Source organism: Homo sapiens, chromosome 17 (genome assembly GCF_000001405.40).
Source record: "Homo sapiens chromosome 17, GRCh38.p14 Primary Assembly".
Classification (NCBI taxonomy): domain Eukaryota; kingdom Metazoa; phylum Chordata; class Mammalia; order Primates; family Hominidae; genus Homo; species Homo sapiens.
The window spans coordinates 78,798,339-78,818,845 of NC_000017.11; the positions used below are offsets into that span (position 1 = coordinate 78,798,339).

General features: G+C 49.7%; 1 protein-coding gene across 35 annotated transcripts in view; it reads right to left on the reverse strand.

The window, feature by feature from the left end:
- The window catches only part of USP36 (ubiquitin specific peptidase 36), a 54,059-nt gene that overhangs the window by 10,958 nt on the left and 22,594 nt on the right, over positions 1-20,507 (reverse strand). For 19 of the 35 annotated variants that reach the window (NR_169582.1, NR_169584.1, NR_169581.1 and 16 more), the window contains 11 exons: positions 20,329-20,440; positions 16,074-16,214; positions 15,435-15,535; positions 14,522-14,663; positions 8,621-9,298; positions 7,818-7,948; positions 5,047-5,640; positions 3,986-4,197; positions 1,329-1,430; positions 570-685; positions 62-213 (listed from right to left, as the gene is read on the reverse strand). Coding sequence is in view for 30 of the 35 variants with exons in the window: in NM_001385177.1 (NP_001372106.1) it covers positions 82-213; positions 570-685; positions 1,329-1,430; positions 3,986-4,197; positions 5,047-5,640; positions 7,818-7,948; positions 8,621-9,298; positions 14,522-14,663; positions 15,435-15,535; positions 16,074-16,214; positions 20,329-20,440 (2,461 nt within the window). In the remaining 5 variants the exon portion in view is untranslated. Of the gene's footprint in view, positions 1-61; positions 214-569; positions 686-1,328; positions 1,431-3,985; positions 4,518-5,046; positions 5,641-7,817; positions 7,983-8,620; positions 9,299-14,521; positions 14,664-15,434; positions 15,536-16,073; positions 16,215-20,328; positions 20,441-20,507 lie in introns of those variants that run through there. The other 16 variants (NM_001385169.1, XM_011525066.4, XM_011525065.3 and 13 more) reach the window with 7 other exon arrangements.

Here is a 20,507-nt window from a genome sequence, read left to right on the forward strand (position 1 = left end):
ACACACATACACGGCACACACACCCCCACCTCACCCTTACACCCACCCCCTCGGAACCGACCTCCTTCCACAGGGGCACAGTCAGCGGCGATAGCTGAGGCTGGCAGCCTTTGCTGGGTGAGTCACAGACCAGAAGTTCCGTCGAGTCTGAAGTTTCTGGAAGGCGTTGAAGTTTCTCCTCTTCTCTCTCTTAAATTTTTTAATTTTCTTTTCCTAGACCAAGAATCACAGGCATCACAGTTCCCAAAAACGGCTCTTTCCTGGCCCACGGGGCTCCATGCTGCATGCAGGTCCTGCACACAGGCCGGGCTCTCATGAGCTCTCTGGAGACCCACTCTTCACAATGACCCCTGTGCACGGCGACCTGCAGTCCCCCTATTGACAAAGGGGCGGAAGCTGCGAGGATGCATGCCCTGTCCATGGCCACACGCCCGGACAGGCCTGGGCAGCCTGGCTCTTCTCATGCTCGGCCGCTTCATGCCACTGCCGCCACCTCCAACTGCCCCGGCTCTGAGCTGAGCCACGCCGCCCTGCTCCCTCAAGCCTGTGGTCAGCATCACACATCATACCTTCCCTCGGTCAAACTCTTCGTCCCAGTCATCAACCACGGTCTCAGTCCGGGCCTGTCTGCTGTCTTCAATAGCATCCTGACTGACCGCCGACATCTTGCCATCCCAGGTCAGAACTACCAGGCAGACACGGGGGTCAGCACGAGTGCAGGTTCCCAGGTCCCCTGTGGCTTCACTTCAAGAGTGTCATTTACCAACTAGTCTACTCATAATTAGTCAACAATTTTGAGTGCCACCTTGTGGTGAAGAGAAGGACAAGAGGAGGACGGCTCGACGCCCATGTGTGGTCGGTCAGCATGGAACCCCCAGCGATGCCCTCTTAGCTAAACCCTAAACCACAGCCAAAGAGTTCAGTTCTTTCTAAACCCATGCCCTCGTCTGAGGAACAAAGATGTCATGTTTGGTCTCGAAGTCTGAATAAAAACATGCTCTGAGCAAGAAGTGACATTACCCAGGTTGGAAGAGCTTCGTCACTCTGCCCCTTCCCTACCCAAGACACAGCATGTGTGGGGCTCCTCACCCTGCCCCAACCCTCAGAAGCAGCTGTTCTGGATCCTGCCACGGACAGAAGCCACCTTCGTGCCACGGCTGAGGGTTTAAAGAGGACTCCAGCCAGTGTTGAGATTCCTCTTCCCATTCTCAAAGCCGAGCGATGCCCGCCCGCCACACTCACAGTGCACCAGGATCCATTCCACACCCTTCCCTCCTACAAAACCAACCAATGAAAGGCAAACAGAAGTCCTGTCTCCAAATCAGTACCTTTTCTCCCGTAAGCTTTATCAGATGAGTATTTGAGCAGTTCCTGGACCACATCAGACTCCCGCTCTCCATTCCAAGACACAGGAGGGGCCTGGCTCAGCCCTGCAATCGGAGCAGCCAAGAAACATTTACAGACGTTTAAAATAACCCACTGGGGAAGCAATCGCACACCTTAAATTATAAAACAACTTACAGTAAGTGGATGCTTGCCTTTTTTTTTTTTTTTTTTTTTTTTTTTTAAAGACAGGGTCTCACTATGTTTCCTAGGTTGGTCTCAAACTCCTTGGGACTCCCACTGGCCTCCCAAGGTGCTGGGATTACAGGCATGAGCCATGGCGCCCAGCCTAAATGCTTATTTACTAATGCTTACATGCTTAATTTACTAATGACCTGACACAATAGAGAAGGCTGTTGTCCAAGTCAATTCATGAGAAAGAAAACATGGAAAATAACAAAAAGCTAAAAACCAAAAAAAAAAAAACCCTCCAAAACCCCTTTAACCAGTAGTGTTAAGTCCTCAGTCTGACAGAAGGAGAGAAGAGAACTAGATCTAAATGGAATCCACCTCACCTACGGGAGAGGCCCATGCCCCAGGACCAGCCTGACACCTGGATGGCCACAGGGGTGGAGGGAACGGCCAAGCTTGGCTGCTGCCATCAGGGGCCCGACCTCCTAAGCCCTGTCCAGGGGGAACCTGGTCCCCATCAGCAACACCGCACAGGTCCACCCAGCACCTCGGGACCAGGACAGCACTCACCACCCTCATCGGGTTCTAGAAACCCTTTCTGAACTCGTCCTCTGCCCAGCTAGCCACATAGCCCCTGGAATATACTCACCTCCCTTCACACAAATCTGACCTCATTTCTCCCTGCCTCCAATTCCTCAGTGAGCTCCAGGCTAAGTGTCCCCTGCCCCCACACAGTGGCTTCCATGGTTCCCATCTCATCCACACAGCCCAGGGACCCGGCCATGCAGAGCAGCCTGCCTGCTCCCAACGTGCTGCGCCTCCTGCCCTTGGGTCTGGTGCCCTGCCCATTTAGCCACTCTCCTCAGGTGCACAGGACTGCAAGAGCCCATGCGGCCCCCAGCGCCTCCTTGCTGAGCATGAGCCCTTACTGTGTGGTTCTGGCTCTGCCAGGGAGCCCCGAGGGCCCAGGGCGCACTTCAGTAGACACAACCAGCACCTGGCATGGACCCTGGCGCACCGCAAGTGCTCAAGTGATGTCCCTTGCACTAACAAGCCAACTCCACTTCGCTCCGAGGGTGGCACGGAGCACAGCTCTGGTGCCATGTTAGGGCAGTATTTTTTTTTTTTTTTTTTTTTTTTTGAGACGGAGTCTCACTCTGTCACCCAGGCTGGAGTGCAGTGGCGCAATCTCGGCTCACTGCAAGCTCCGCCTCCTGGGTTCACACCATTCTCCTGCCTCAGCCTCCCGAGTAGCTGGGACTAGAGGCGCCCGCCACCATGCCTGGCTAACTTTTTGTATTTTTAGTAGAGACGGGGTTTCACCGTGTCAGCCAGGATGGTCTCGATCTCCTAACCTTGTGATCCGCCCGCCTCGGCCTCCCAAAGTGTTGGGATTACAGGCGTGAGCCACCACCCCCGGCCAGGGCAGTACTTCTGAGAGCATGCTGGCCAGCAAACTCAGTCGGCACTAGCTAGCACCCACGTTTTGCTATTTATTTCATACCATTTCATTTTTAACGATAAATTCCTTTCTTAAGAGTTGGATAAATACAAATCAGTCTCTAAGGTCCTGCTGACCCCCAGATGCACTGCCATAATCAGACCTTCCAGACTGCAGAGGAGGCCTCACTCAAGCTCGGCCCCCTATACCAAGCAGCCAGGACTTTCTCTCCCCTTCACTTAACAAATGTGTTCTGTGGCGGGTGCCTGCCAAGGCATGCCCCAGCCAGCCCTAAAGAAAACAAAACACCCTCCGATTGAGGGGTGGTGCCCAAGGACAGCCACAGCACACAGGTCCCCAACAGCAAGCAAACCGTGCTATGTTCTGAATGGCCCAGCTACATAGAGGGAGAGGAGGATTCACTTTTGAACCCAACTCTTCTAAATTCAACCATCACAGAAAAAAACTCAGGCTGGGAGTTCAGGGAGTCATTCCGTGAGAAGCTGTAGACAGAACAGCTTTGAATCGGAAGACCCACTGGCATTCACAGAATGTTTTAAAGTTCATGTGCACTGTAACCTCTCTCATGGGGCTGTTTCAGTCAAATGCTGTGACACATGAGGAAGCTTCAACCCCATCACCCAAGGGAGCAGACTCGGGGGTGGGGGGTGAAGGTTGGTAGGGTCCCAGGGCCCTCCACATCTTCTCCCAGACCCTCCCAAGCTCAGATGCAGTAGACGCTGCTCTCAGCCTGTGCACTCCCCAATACCCCCTCACCCGGTGCACACCCACGCGGTCCCCCACCCCCTTGCCCGGTGCACACCCACGCGGTCCCCCAACCCCTCGCCTGGTGCACACCCACGCGGTCCCCCACCCCCTCGCCCGGTGCACACCCACGCGGTCCAACCCCTCGCCCAGTGCACGCCCATGCGGTCCCCCAACCCCTCGCCCGGTGCACACCCATGCGGTCCCCCAACCCCTCGCCCGGTGCACACCCATGCGGTTCCCACCCCCTCGCCCGGTGCATACCCATGCGGTCCCCAGGACACCAGCCATTCGCGGATGGTGCGCAGCTGCTGGACTCGGGGACAACAGCATCTTGGGGCTTGGCACTCCTTGGGCATTTGAGATGCCCATCCTCTTCTACTGCCCGCTGTGTCTCCTGCTTTCTTTTTTTCTTTTTCTTTTTCCTTGGAGACTCTTCCATGGCCTCTGGATCACCATCACCCATGGGAGAGCAGCTGCTTGGAAGTGAGAGGCAGCAGTCAGCTCTGAGCAAATTGGAAGGGGAGCAGGAGCGCACAGACACCCGCCTGCAACATGGAGAAGGTGCCACCCCAGCTGTGACCCAGTGCACGCAGGTCCCTGCAACATTCTTCCCCCCACACGCATTAGCGGACGCTCCACACGCAGCCACGGAGACAGTAGAGGGAAAACCAGTCGCGTTTCCCATCCTAACTGAGCCAAGCCTGTTGACGCCAATGTGCAGGCTACTGTGACCTGATGAAACGGCAGATCCTGGCCTGGCCCGGGACACCTGATCCAGCATCCTTGAACGGCCCTGCACATACAATGATGGACACTACTGTCCACACCACTGTCGCTTCAAGGATCAATCCACTGGTATTTATCAGAGGAGATATTTTTTCTTTTTTCTTTTTTTTTAGACAGGGTTTAGCTGTCACCCAGGCTGTAGTGCAGTGACGCGATCTCAGCTCACTGCAACCTCCACCTCCTGGGCTCAAACCATCCTCCCACCTCAGCCTCCTGAGTAGCTGGGACTATAGGTGCATGCCACCATGCCCAACCAATTTTTGTTTTTGGTAGAGAAAGGGCTTTTCCATATTGCCTAGGCTGGTCTCAAACTCCTGGGTTGAAGTGATCCACCCGCCTCAGCCTCCCAAAGTGCTAGGATTACAGGTGTGAGCCACCACACCCAGCCAGAGGAGACATCTGATCACAAATCCACATTTTAGAAAACCACGCAAGCAGACTACGTTTCCAGACCATACCTACTTGGGGGTAGATTCTGTGGTTTTGCTTTGTTTCTCGTCAGAGGTAGACAGATGCCACTTTGCTCCTGCCCTTACCTGTGCCGAAGTGGGTCCTGGTGCAGGCCGCCTTCTTCACCAAGACCTTCTGCTCCTTTCCTCCTCCGCTTCCTGCTGCTCGCGTGGTGGCCGTCCGTAACACATCCCACCTGCTGGCCATTCACCTGTGGCTGTGTGCCATCTTCCTGCCGTCTGACAGCGGGCAGCTGTGCCTGGCCCTCCCTCCTGTACATGGGGCTCCCAGGCTGTCTCTGTGTCTGCCCCTCCTGCAGGGCGCTGGCAGCTGTGTCCTCCGGGCGCTTCTTCTTCTTCCTCTTCCTCTTCCCGTGGGGAGCCGCAGTGGCCTCCCTGATGTGCTGTGGGAGGCGCGTCTCTGAGCCCAGCCTCTGCGGCTCTCCCACAAAGGTCTTTTTCCTCTTCTCAGAGGGGCTCTGGGGGGGCTCACTGGCCTCTGGCAACTGGTGTGGAAGAGACACAAGGTCCTCGTTGACCTGAGGCAGCGCCGTCGAGATGGAGGAGCAGCTCCGTGGTTCTGACGTCCCTGGGGGCTTGGGGGTACTGGACAGCAATGTGGGGTGGGGGCTGAAGGGGGGTTGCAGGCGGCTGGATGATTGGGGAGCAGGTGACACAGCCCTGTGGGGACAGCCAGGAAACAGGGAGAGGATGTTCTGAAAGACCCAGCAGAGCTGTTCCTTCTGTCTACCCTCACTCCCCTCCCTTTCACCTAAAAATCTGAAAAGGCTTTTACCCTGTAGTTTTCAGATACACATTAAGTTACATGTATGTTTGAAAGAAAGCTAACAATTAATTCAACATCTATTTAAATGCAAAGTTGGCCAGGTACAGTGGCTCATGCCTATAATTCCAGCACTTTGGGAAGCCAAGGTGGCTGGATCACCTGAGGTCAGAAGTTTGAGACCAGCCTAGCCAACATGGTGAAACCCCATCTCTACTAAAAATACAAAATTAGCCGGGCGTGGTGGCACACGCCTGTAATCTCAGCTAGTCAGGAGACTGAGGCAGGAGAATCGCTTGAACCTGGGAGGTGGAGGTTGCAGTGAGCCGAATCGCGCCACTGCACTCCAGCCTGGGCGACAAAGCAAGACTCCGTCTCAAAAAAAAAAAAAACCAAAAAAACAAAAACAAAAACAAAAAAAAAAAAACAAAGTTACCTAGGTGGTGGGTTGATAGGTGCAGCAAACCACCATGGCACCTCTGTAACAAACCTTTACATCCTGCACATGTACCCTGGAACTTAAAATAACTGATCCCTGAGATTTAAAAAAAAAAAAAAAAAAAAAAAAAAAAGCAAGCCAACACGTGATTTTAAAAGTCAAAAAAAAAATTTTTTTTTTTTTAAAAGGCAAAGTTAATAAGAATTGTTCCATGCCTTAGTTTCTTGTCACCAAGCAATTCAAGTATTTTTGCGAGCTCTAATGTAAAAACATCTTTAATACAAATGTGTTAAGGGAGGAAACCTTCACGAAACAATAAATGGTAAGGAAAAAAAAGATCCCGTGAGGATTTATTTTCCAACCTCCGAAAGTCTCAGGGTGTTCCCGGGCAGGAAATGAGCCTCATAAGGAAAGCAAGTGTTGAGCTGGCCTAATGACACCTCCACATTACCGTCATTAGGACGCTGAAACCGGGACACAGATGCGTAGAGCAGAATCATGAGCAAGGCGTGTCCGGGACAGGATCTAGTGCCGAACCCAGTGAGGCTCCCTCTTGCCAGCTATGTGTCTCTAGGAAAATTAACTTCCCACTCTGAACCACCATGTTCTCATTTGTCAATGAGCTGGGACCACAAAGCCCACCTCCCAGGGTTCCTGCAGAAAACAGGACCCCCGTCATCATCTAAACAAACTATAAGGGCCATGCCAGCTGCACGATGTTTGATTACTCTAAGTGTCTTCTGGAATCTTTTCCAAAAAAGCTTATAAGGCAAGAAACGAAAAACACCCAAACACTTAAGGCCCTCCCACGTACACAAATCTTATGCTAGGTATAGGGCAGAGGTGTGCTTGTGTGTGTATATGTGAGAGGAGAGTAAGGCAGAGGCTGTGGGCGACGCACAGTCATACCTCGCCCTCATGTAGCACTGGAGATTCTAGAACTAGAACCCAGCGCCGAGGCCACCAGTACAGTCCCCGCAGGCCGCCTCATGACTCACCCCATCTTTCACTGCTTCCGTCCCCACTCCCAGCGGCTTCCAGACAGCCATTTACCAGTTACTCTCAACTTCCTGCCACTCGAGGCACCTAAGAGACGCAGGCAGCCCCTGCGGACCAGGGCCCACATGCACAGGGAAGGGGCTGCATCTCTGGCAGGTGTCTGCAGAGGAACCCGAGAGCCCTGAGACAGTTCTTAACCTGCATGACGCTAGCAGGCAAGACGTCCCACAAAAAACGCTCGGGACTCCGAGCTCACTCAAGCCTCTCGCCAAGGCCTCACTTCGCCTTTCTCTTCGACTGGGAAGTACTGTCATGGGGCTGGTAGGGATACAGGACAGGTCAGTCCCCAGCACACCACATCACCACAAGGATGTCGCAGACAGACCACCAACAAAGACAGAACTAAGACATCAGGACTGCAGAGGCCGAACTGCCTTCACCACCCAAAGCTCCTTTACCACAGGGGAACACAGAAGAGGGGGATCTTGGTCAGTGACGCCCCCCTGTACCTCCTGGCTGCCCCAATGCTTTGTCTGTCCTGTGAGGTTGGCGATTCGTCCAACTCCTCACCAGCCAAGCACACGCAACCACAGGGAGAACCAGTTGGCACCCAGAAGATCCCGGCCCAAAGCTTACCTGGCTCTATGGACGGGCCAAGTGGAGGCAACGACGGGGTGAGAGGTTTTCATGGGGTGGGTGAGGTCGGAGGATGGTGAGGGGGGAGGTGGACGGAGGTCATTGCCGGTCGCCCTCCACAGGGTGCTGGCCTGCAGTTATCGACATAAATAAAAACTTGGTGGTCTAAAAAAGGTTTCCGTGAGTGAAGAGGGAAAACAAAAGTAACAAAAAATGAAAATAAAAACAAAAGAGCCCAGAAAAAAAGATGAGGAGACAGAAGAAGACAAAAAGGGGAGGTGAGGGGCAGGGGAATGGTAGAAGAAGAACCAGAAAAGTATTTTTGGTTAGAAACAAAAAAAAGGAAGAAAATTTAAACAAAAATCTCAGCACAACAATCACATCCACGTGCCGTGGCTGCCCAAGCTTCCTGCTGCAGAGGTGCCGGGCACCCCACTGGGGCTCTGCGCTTCCTGCCCGCCCCACCCCTGCTAGGGACACGTGCTGGTGGGGCCCACCCTCCCTCGGGTTCAGTCAGGATCTTCCACCTACTGTGAAAACAGGGAACTGCTACCTTGCCCAAACCTCCATGAGTCACATGAGCATCACCAGATCAGGGCTCTCTCAACACCCCATACTGCCTTCACCCCAAGATAGCCGTTCTTTAATTGCAAATGGCTGGGAACGACTAAAAGACACTTTGTTCCTCTAACATGAGGGAGGCCAAAGCCCCCGGACAATGTTCTCACTCCCTTCAAACCACAACCAAGCAACTCTTGGAGCTCTCCTGATACACAGCAGCGGCGAGACCCCCACACACCCACCTTCTTGGCAGAAAGGGCCAGTTTTTTGGCTGGTGGAGGAGACATGGTGCTTGCAGGCTCAGTGGTGGTGTTGCTCAGGACAGGGGACTTCAGCTTCACCGTCTTAGAATCTGCTCCACTTGGCGGCGTTTTGGAGTGGCCAGCGGTGGAACAGTTCGTTTCCTGAGAATCGCAGAGATGGGCCGCTCCACTCCTGGGGGTCTGGGGGGCCTTGGTGGAGTCGCTGCTGGCCGAGTGCTCTGGGCTGGAGCTGCTGGAGCCCCTCCTGTCGAGGCCAGCGCTCTCGTCGTTCCCCTTCAGCCCATGCCCGTTGGCAGTGGCTGTAGCCAGGAGCTTAGGTGAGGTAGAGAGGACAACATCCCTGCTGTCCCAGGAGCCCTGCCTTTGGCTCCCAGATCTGCTGCTATTCGAGTTGCTGGTCCCAGGCAGCCCCTGAGCAGTTCTGGGGGAAAAGTGCTGTGGAGGAGCTGGCTTCTTCACCTTCTTTCCAGGGTCGTCTAGGATGGTTGGCATGTGTGTGGGTGTCTGGGAGAGTTTGGGGGAAGGGGACCCCGAGGGCAGCTTTGGAGGAATGCAGCCGTTCTGGGACTTCAGGCCCAGGGTGGAGCCATTCCTGGATATGGGCACACCAATCTCTTCAGTGGTGTGCGGCTTCTTCATCGTCCCAGAGTCTTGTCGCTAAGGAGACCAAAGCAGAAAACACAACTGAGGAAGCGAGAAGTCTCAGCTGGGCCACATCTTCTTAAGGCCACAGTGAATCTTAGTAGCAGGCATGGCCTCTGATTAGCATGCTCAAGATAAATTATTTATCTGGACTCTTGGTAAAGACACTGTGGCTTCTCTGAACAATTCTGGTGTTCTGTGACATCCCAAGAACAGGGACCACAGCCGTGTACCACCACACCTGGCTAATTTCTGTATTTTTGACAGAGATGGGGTTTCACCATGTTGGCCAGGCTGGTCTCAAACTTCTGGCCTCGAGCAGTCCACCTGCCTCAGCCTCCAGAAGTGTTGGGATTACAGGTGTGAGCCATAGCACCTGGCCTGAATACATATCTTTATGGCCACCTTTACTATAAAACCAGTACATTTTCATCAAGATTTGGGAAGAGAAAAAAGTATAAAGGAAGAAATTTAGCAAAGTTCCATCACCTAAACATAACCATGCATTAACATTCTAGTGCTTTCTTTTTTCAATCTTTTCTTCCAAATGGTTCTGGCCTGAAGAGTTGCATCCCAGTTTTATCTTAAAGCTATTATCTCAAGCATTTTTATGGGCGATAACTCTCAATAAATATCTTTAAGACAGAGCCTTGCTCTGTTGCCCAGGCTGGAGTGCAGTGGCATGATGATGTCATCATAACTCACTGCAGCCTCAACCTTCTGGGCTCAAGAGATCCTCCCACTTCAGCTGCCCAACTGGCTAGGACTATAGGAGTAGACCACCACACCCGAATAATTATTACTATTTTGTAGAGATGGGGATCTTGCTATGTTGCCCCGGCTAGCCTTGAATTCCTGAGCTCAAGCAATCCTCCCACCCTGGCCTCTCAAAGTGCTGGGATTACAGGCCTGAGCAACTGCACCCTGCCTGTCGGCCTGTCTTTGACATTTTACTATATATACTATGTACTACTGATACACATTAACTGTATGGTTAATTTATATAAGCTATATTGTCTCCAACTGTTGAAATTAAAAATACTGTACAGTATATGTGTGTGTATCCTTTACCCTTCAGAGCACTTATTACAACTGCATAGAAATAACTTATTATTCTGTATTTAGATGCTGAATGTCAGCCTTCCCCTGCTTGACCAAGAGGCTGTACCCGTTATCTCTCTCGTTCCCACTGCAGCCCTCACCAGCAACTCAAGGGTCTGGTATAGAGTCGGTGCTTAAAAAATATTTGTTGAGCTTTTCCTGTACTTAGTACTCCATGCTAATTTTCTGGAAATGGAATTACAAGGCTAATTTTCTGGAAATGAAATTACAGATTTCATTTTCATGAAATCTGATGCAAAATGCCAAACTGCTTTTACTATACTCCAGCCACATCTATTTTTCAAAACATTTGCTAATTTGACACTCGTTTGGGCTATTACCACTTTAACATTCATATTCTCTGCACATGCACTAAAGTGATCTTCATTTGAATGAGATCTTTTGTTTACAAATGTTAACCTTTTGTTGACAATATTTTACAAGGTTTTATTGCTTCATTTGTTTGTAGTAAATTATGTACAAAAATGTAAATCTTAGTCAATTCATAATTCTTCTACATTTTATCCTTCAACTTTAAGCATACAAAGTCTTCTTCCCTTCCCAGAGGTTAAGAATTTACCTCTATTTTCTTCCAAGTTTTGTTTTGTTCCCTACATTCTATTCTTTGTTAATACTGTTTTCTAAAAGGAATTCATCTTTCCACTGCACCGCAAAGCCGTTTCACTGGCTGAACATTTCCATACACACTAGAACTTGCACCATGTCATTTAGAGTAAAACGGCTCGTCTGCTTGCAGTGTATTTGGAAAATCACGTTTGTAATGAAAATGCTCATGGTCAGTGAAGCGCCCCTGCAGGTGTGCCTGACACAGGGACTCTCCTTGAGCCAATCTCCACCCTCGGGCATCACTCTGCCCATGGAGTTCCTGTGGCAAGTGGGGCTTCCTTTGTTTTTCTGGGGTTTTTTGAGACAGGGTCTCATTCTGTTGTCCAGGCTGGAGCGCAGTGGCACAATGATAGCTCAATGCAGCCTTGTGTTTAAGTGATCCTCCTGCCTCAACCTCCAAACAGCTGGGACAACAGACGTGCACCACCACACCTGGCTAATTTTTGCACTTTTTTTGGAGATGGGGTTTTGGAGATGGGGGTCTTTCTATGTTGCCCAGGCTGCTTCCTTTTTTTGAGATGGAGTCCCGCTCTGTCACCCAGGCTGGAGTGCAGTGGCACAATCTCAGCTCACTGCAACCTCCACCTCCCGGGTTCAAGCGATTCTCCTACCTCGGCCTCTCGAATAGCTGGGATTACAGGCGCACGCCACCATGCCCAGCTAACTTTTGTATTTTTAGTAGAGACAGGGTCTCACCATATTGGCAAGCTGGTCTCAAACTCCTGACCTCAAATGGTCCACCCACCTCAGCCTCCCAAAGTGCCCGGCCCCCCTCTTCTTTTTTTTGTAGACAAGGTCTCACTCTGTCACCTTGCCTGGAATTCACCAGCGTGATCATGGCTCACTGCATACAGCCTCAACCTCCCGGGTTCAAGTGATCCTCCCCCAACAGCTTACTGAATATTCTCTGTGCTGATGGGATCTATGTTGCCCAGGCTACTTTTTAAATTTGTTTTGAGACAGGGTCTTGCTCTGTTGCCCAGGCTGGTGTGGAGTGGTATGATCATGACTCACTCCAGCCTTAATCTCCCTGGCTCAAGTGATCCTCCCACCTCAGCCTCCTGAGTAGCTGGGAATACAGGCACGTGCCATTAAACCTGGCTAGCTTTTGCATTTTTAGTAGAGACAGGGTTTTGCCCAGGTTGGTCTCGAACTCCTGGGATCCACTGATCTTCCCACATCGGCTTCCCAAAGTGTTGGAATTACAGACATGAGTCACAGTCCCAGGCCCAGGCTGCTTCCTAACTTCCTAGTCTGGGCTACAGTGACCACCAACTTTGCAATTATATCATGTATTTTACTGCCACTTCAATTCTAATGCTTCTAATTTCAGCTTCTATTTTCTTTAATGTGAAGAGAAATACAGATGTACGTAAATGACCAAAACCCCTGCAGACTGTGAAAGGCCCTGACTGCCTGTGTGTGGGGTTCAACTCTTCATTCTAAAGGGAGAGGAAGACGATCCATCAAAAACAGTCATCCAGGCCGGGCACGGTGGCTCATGCCTGTATCCCAGGACTCTGGGAGGTCAAGCTGAGCGAATCACTTGAGGTCAGGAGTTCCAGACCAGCCTGGCCAACATGGTGAAACCCCATCTCTACTAAAACTACAAAAATTAGCCGGGAGTGCTGGCGGGCACCTGTAATTACAGCTACTCAGGAGGCAGAGGCAGGAGAATCGCTTGAACCCAAGAGGCGGAGGCTGCATAGTGGCAGAGGCTGCAGTGAGCTGAGATGGCGCCACTGCACTCCAGCCTCAGTGACAGAGCGAGACTCTGTCTCAAAAAAAAAAAAAAAAAAAAAAAAAGAAACAGTCATCAAGAGGGTCCACCCCACTTCAAATGATCACTGTGTTCTAATGAGGAAACTGCTCATGAATCCACTTAGTGAAACTGAATTCTTAACAGTTCTAGCAGAAAATTTCAAATACACACAAAGGTAACTTAGAGGGTAGTTCCTAATGGTTAACCTGTAACCACATAACCTTTATCATCCTCTCTCTGTATGTATATGTACGTGTGTATATATGTATGACTATGTACGTATGCATATACACATATTTCTATTTCTGATCCATTTGAGTAAATTGCAGACATGATGTTCTTTTACCCCAAAATATGTCCATGTGTATTTCCAAAGAACAAAGACACTCTCTTACATAACCACAGCAGAATTACCCAAATCAGGAAATTAACATTGGTACAAACTACTCACATTTTCCCCGTTAAATGTGAGAACAGGCCGGGCACAGTGGCTCACGTCTGTAATCCCAGCACTTTGGGAGGCTGAGGCGGGTGGATCAGGAGGTCAGCAGATAGAGACCATCCTGGCTAATAAAGTGAAACCCCGTCTCCACTAAAAATAAAAAAATTAGCCATGCATGGTGGCACACGCCTGTAGTCCCAGCTACTCGGGAGGCTGAGGCAGGAGAATCGCTTGAACCTGGGAGGTGGAGGTTGCAGCGAGCCAAGGTTGCGCCACTGCACTCCAGCCTGGGCGACAGAATGAGACTCCGTCTCAAAGAAAAAAAAAAAAGGATATTTTTTCCTACACGCTTACGGTTAAGAGTTTGCTTGGTGCCTGTAATCCTGGCACTCTGAGAGGCCAAGACAGGAGAATTGCTTGGGCTGAGGAGCTTAAGACCAGCCAGGGCAACATAGTGAGACCCTGTCTCTACACAAAATTTAAAAATTAGCTGGGTGTGGTAGTGCACTGATAGTCCCGAATACTAGGGATGCTGGGGCAGGAGGGTGGCTTGAATCCAGGAGCTCAAGCCTGCCCTGAACCATGATTGTGCCACTGTACTCCAGTCTGGGTAACAGAGTGAGACCCTGTCTCCAAAAAAAAAAGTTTGCTTGGCATTATAAAGGAAATAAAAGGAGTGCACACAGAAAGTTTGCTTGGCACACCTGTCACGACACCTGTAAGTGGTGCTGGTCTCATGAGTAGAACAGATCTGTGAATGACAATTCTAATTTGTTGGGTCAGAATTTTCTCATTCATGTCTCCTCTTTCTCTATAGCCAATGTCAGCTGATGACCAGTTTAAGAAATAACATTGGCCGGGCGCGGTGGCTCATGCCTGTAATCCCAGCACTTTGGGAGGCCGAGGCGGGCAGATCCTGAGGTCAGGAGATCGAAAGCATCCTGGCTAACACGGTGAAACCCCGTCTCTACTAAAAATACAAAAAAAATTAGCCGGGCGTGGTTCGGGCACCTATAATCCCAGCTACTAGGGAGGCTGAGGCAGGAGAATGGCGGGAACCCGGGAGGCAGAGCTTGCAGTGAGCCGAGATTGGAGATCGCACCACTGCACCCCAGCCTGGATGACAGAGCGAGACTCTGTCTCGAAAAAAAAAAAAAAAAAAAAAGAAAAGAAAAGAAATAACATCAACTAGAATAGTGCAAACTGCCTGCAAATTCCTTCCACTGTGGCCAACTTCCCAAGTGTGAGGAGGTCTGTGAGGAGCACCAAGACCAGCCACTTTGGCCTCCATCATTCTCACAAATACCTTTCCAGTCAGTGGGGAGGAAATAATCCCATTGCCGATGTTCTTCTTGGAGTGATCTGGAATCACACTCGGGCGGCCGGGAAGGGAGGAGGAGCCTGTCCTGGAGATGAGGCCCTCGGGACTTTTCTTAGAGCCTGGAATTCTGTCAAAGGAAGAAAACAAGTAGGGAATTCTCTTACTAGGCATTACAGAAACGGAGAGAATTAGAATAAGTTAAGGCGGGGCAAAGGCAGAAACACGGCCTGGGGAAACCCTGCCAGTCCTAACCACTTCTCTGGAATCTCCCTTTGCCTTTCAACCACAGTGAGGCTGAGAGATCAGCCCCAAGTATCTGCTGAATATAAGCAGAGCAAGGGCAAATTAGAGTCAGAATTCCTCCAAGATCAGAGTTCAATGCACCAGAAAGCAAGAACCTCAAACACCTCAGCCACACTCTGCAGAGACGTACAAAGCAGCAAAAATGCCTCAGCTGCCACGGTCTCCAGCCTCCAGGTCAGTGACAGCCAGCTCCAGGAGAAGGCCCCTCCAGAGAAGCTCTGCAGCAGCACCCCCACAAACACGTCCTTCCCAGCATATCCCTACAGGGGCAGCTTCCCCACACGGGAAGGGGCATTGGCTGGCTACCATCCAGGGAGCAGTACCTCTAATTTGGGGCAATACTATAAATGGTGACTTTCCTGTTTACATTCAAAACAGCATCAATGTGAGGGCAGATGGGATCCTGTCCTGACCTTCCCAAGGCTCTGGCTTTACTAAAAAGTGTCCTTCCCTGTGGACGGTCTCTATGACACATGACAAATCCCTCCAGTGGAATTCCCAATTACCTTCAAACAAAAAAAGGTTAGGGAGGCCCACCGGTATAAGAAAAGAGCAGAGGGAGTGAGCTCATCTGGGGAGGGCGTGAGTTTATTACCGCAGATAGAACAGCACGTAGGCCTGCTGGTTCAGAACCACCTTGACGTTGCTGGAATGGACCAAGGAATCATTCATCTGGTACCACTGTCCATTGCTTGCCTGAAGCAGCCAAGGATGTTGCAGAAAACAAAACAATCAACAAGCATCCCATTATCCTCACTTTTTAAAAAGGGAATAAAAAATCTGTTAGTTGCTACATTTCCAAACACTATTAATAATCAACAGGTAACAACTTCTATTAAAACGTGTAATATTTTCATAACTCGGAATGTGACCCCAAAGTGTGCTCTGCGTCCCAGTTCCTTCCTAGTGCCCCAACAGATAGGAACTGTCCCTTCTAAAGGACATTCAGGCAGTGTCATCACCATGGCCGATTTTGCCAGGGTTCTAAGGATGGCACCAGAAGCGGCTGCCTCTTCCGTGTCTCCCTGCAAGTCTGAGAACACTAGATTCTGGTGCAACACTTCTGTAAAGGGCATCTTTTCACTCCACGCAGAGAGGCAACAACGAGGACTTGAATACAACCACAAAACATCACACTTTTCACAAAGTAAGTGCTCTACAGAGGCCGCATCTGGATGTGCATGGGTGCTGAAACCTGTCCCAGGAGGCAGCTGCACTGACACAAGCCTCTCACCTTCACGTAGCAGTAATAGTGCCCGGCATGGCAGCTGTAGCCCGAGTGCACCAGGACAGCATAGAGTCCATACATGACAGGATCACCATTATTCTGGGACATATACGGACGTATGTTGAGGAATTCCGGATAGCCTACATCCTGTTTGAAAAATCAAGGAAAAGACAAATAAAATTCACTTTGAGAGTAAAGATCAATTTGCCCTTTCCATCCACAACCACACAAAATGCCCAGCTTGTCTGGTCTTTAACAATTTGGGGGCCGGGCACAGTGGCTCACGCCTGTAATCCCAGCACTTTGGGAGGCTGAGGCAGGGGGATCACCTCGAGGAGTTCGAGATCAGCCTGACCAATATAGCGAAACCCCACTTCTAATAAAAATACAAAAAATTAGCTGGGCATGGTGGTGCACTGCCTGTAATCCCAGCTACTCAGGAGGCTGAGGAACAAGAATCACTTGAACCCGCGAGGCAGAGGTTGCAGTGAGCCGAGATCGAGCCACTGCACTCAGCCTGGGCGACAGAGCGAGACTGTCTCAAAACTGCCCCGCCACAAACAAGAAAAAGACAATTTGGGGCGAATGGGTGTGCAGCAACGCTGTGCAGGAGCTCCCCCAGGCAATGATTAAAAACCAAGATGCTGGCCAGGTGCGGTGGCTCACGCCTGTAATCCCAGCACTTTGGGAGGCCGAGGCGGGTAGATCACAAGGTCAAGAGATTGAGACCATCGTGGCCAAGATGGCGAAACCTTGTCTCTACTAAAAATACAAAAATTAGCCAGGCGTGGTGGCACGTGCCTGTAGTTCCAGCTACTCAGGAGGCTGAGGCAGGAGAATCGCTTGAAACCAGGAGGTGGAGGTTACAGTGAGCCGAGATCATACCACTGCACTCCAGCCTCGCAACAGAGCGAGACTCCATCTCAAAACAATCAAAACAAACAAACAAAGAAAAAACACCAAGATGCTGAGAAGTGAGTCTTCTCCAGCCAGCCTATGGGAAACTTTATTGTCCCATCAAGCAATGCAGGATCTGTTCTTGTCTTTGTCAAGCATCTCCATTAGTTCTCTCACCACCTGGTTCCTAACGATCAAATGAGAAGGGTCACTCATTTTCTTTCCCTCCACTTTACAGGAACATTGTTGGTGGGAGAAAAGGGAGAGAATGCTGGGTTTTAGATCTTCAGAAATAAAAGTGCTGAATTAATATAGCCAACTGCTACCGCAAGTAAGACTTTTAATCAACTGGATCAGAAGAAAGGTCATGCTAAAATGTCTTCCCAAAACTGACCAATTTTTCATAGAAAAAAATACACGCACACATATACATAACATGCATACATATATGCATACATGCACGCATAAAATACATGCACACATATATACATACATGCATACATACATCGTATACACACATGCACACATATATACATACACACACACATATGCATGCATACACATGTACGCATATACATACATGCACAACACATACATGCACGCACACATGCATACGCACACATACACACACATATACACACATGCATGCACACACATATACATACACACACATATAATACGTGCACACACATATATACATACATGCACACACATATATTCTTAGCAGTAATAGTGCCTGGCATGGCAGCTGTAGGCTGAGTGCACCAGGACAGCACAGAGCCCACATGACAGGATTGCCATTATTCTGGGTCATATACAGACGTGTGTTTAGGAACTCCGAAAAACATACGCATAATTTTTTTTTTTTTTTTTAAGAAACACAGTCTCGCTCTGTCACCCAGGCTAGAGTGCAGTGGTACATTCATAGCTCACTGTAACTTCAAACTCCTGGACTCAAGCAATCCTCCTATCTCTACCTCCCAAGTAGCTGGGACTATAGGCACGCGCCACCATGACTGGCCAATTAATAAAAATTTTTTAGGCCGGGCATGATGGCTCACACCTATAATCCCAACACTTTGGGAGGCCGAGGTGGGTGGATCACTTGAGGTCAGGAGTTCAAGACCAGCCTGGCCAACATGGTGGAACCCCGTCTCTACTAAAAATACAAAATTTAGCCAAGCATGGTGGCACACATTTGTGGTCCCAGCTACTTGGGAGGCTGAGGCAGGAGAATCGCTTGAACTTGGGAGGCAGATATTGCAGTGAGCTGAGATGGTGCCACTGCACTCTAGCCTGGGTGACAGAGTAAGACTCCGTCTCAAAAAAAAAAACAAAAAAACCAAAATTTTTTTGTAGAGACAGGGTCTCACTATGTTGCCCAAGCTGGTCTTAAACTCCCAGTCTCAAGCAATCCTCCCACCTCAGCCTCCCTAAGTGCTGACATTAGAGTTGTGAGCCATTGTGCCCAGCCTAAATCATTTTTTTAAACTGAGTTGTGGGATTTGTTGAAATGCATAGATCTTCAGTATATAGATCAAAGAGTTTTGACAAGTATATACTGATGGACATGCAGAACATCAACTAGAAAATTCCCACATCCCAGTCATTGCCCCCATCTCAAATATTCACTGTTCTGATTTCTGTCACCATTAATTTTGCCTGTTCTTAAACGTCACATACCATCAGTCATGTGCCACATAACATGTTTTGGTCAATGACAGACCACATATACAACAGCGATCCCATAAGATTATAATACTGCATTTTCACTGTACCTTCTCTATGTTTAGATACACAAATACTTCCCATTGTGTTGCAACTGCCTACAGTATTCAGGACAGGAACAGGCTGTGTAGGTTTGTGGCCTAGGAGCAATGGGCTATACCATACAGCTGGCTCCGTCATCTACGTCTGTGTAAATGCACTCTATGATGTTCACACAGTGACAGAATTGCCTGGTGACACATTTCTTAAAACATGCCCTTGTGGTTACACGACACCTGAGTCTACGACATTAAGAATCTGCAAACACATTTGAGAAATGCTGACCTAAGCAAGCCCCCACCACTACCAGTGAGGAAACGGAGGCTCAGCCAAGGGTGTCATTCCAAACCACATAACCAGGCTCTCAGAACAGAACTCTAGATTTTTATGAGATACAGACATCTACTGGGCACGGTGGCTCATGCCTGTTATCCCAGCACTTTAGGAGGCTGAGGCAGGCGGATCACCTGAGCTCAGGAGTTCGAGACCAGCCTGGCCACCATGGCAAAACCCCATCTCTACTAAAAATACAAAAATTAGCCAGGTGTGGTGGTGGGCGCCTTAATCCCAACTACTCTGGAGGCTGATGCAGGAGAATCACTTGAACCCAGAAGGTGGAGACAGCGCCACTGCAATCCAGCCTGGGCATCAGAGCAAGACTCTGTCTCAAAAAAAAAAAAAAGAGAAAAAAGAAAAAAGAAACACATCTTCTATGAAAATGCCACTATAGGCCAGGTATGGTGGCTCACACCTGTAATCCCAGCACTGTGAGAGGTCAAGGCATGCAGGTCACTTGAGCCCAGGAGTTTGAGACCACCCTGGGCAACACAGCAAGATGCTGTCTCTACAAAAAACTTTTTAAAAAATTAACCAGGCATGGTGGCATGTGCCCACAGTCCCAGCTACTCAGGAGGCTAAGGCAGGGGGATCGCTTGAGCTTGGGAGGTCAAGACTGTAGTGAGCGCTGATTATGCCACTGCACTCCAGCCCAGGTGACAGAGTGAGACCCTGTCTTAAAACAAAATGAAATTTAAACAATAAAATACCATCGTGTCAAAAGTAGTTTTTCTAAACTCCATATTTCATAAAAAGCCAGAGCATGCAACGGCACCTGTTCTAGACATCAAAAGGACATGGACAATGCAAGTCCCACCGCCCAGTGCTCATCACACTCATCTGGAGAACCCTGAAAGTCCCTGCCAGGACCAGCCCAAGCACAACCAGAAGCTGCGGTAAATCCATTAAGACAGTGGCCCTGGAACTTGACTGTGTATAACAAGCATTCAGGGATTTTGCAAAAATGCAGATTCCTGGGCCCTGTCCTCCAGAGATTCAAATTCACTGGCACTGGGATAAACCCAGAAACGTCTATTTTTAAAAGGCGTCCCAGGTTGCTTCCCCTCTCTGTGACTGTCTTCCCGTCCTGGACAAGGGCGAAACTACAGTCCCTACTTCACAATATGTGTAGAACCTTTAGAACAGGGACAGGTACTGTGTAAACAGCAGCTATCAAACTCGTGGCTATCACTTTCTTCGTGTTATTCTGATGCCGACTGTGGCCCACGGAGCTGCCTGGGATGGTGTCACGAGCGCTCACCTTGGTGATCTTCCCCCCGCTGAAGTTGGCAAAGCGCTTGAGGGAAAGGGTTAAGACGTTGGATGTTCTGTGGATGGTGAAGCGCTTGCTGGCTGGAACCTTCTTCTTGCATCTATGAAGAAGGTGATGAGAAAGATTAATGAATGATTGATTCGTGCTCTGAAAAATGTTGTCTTAAC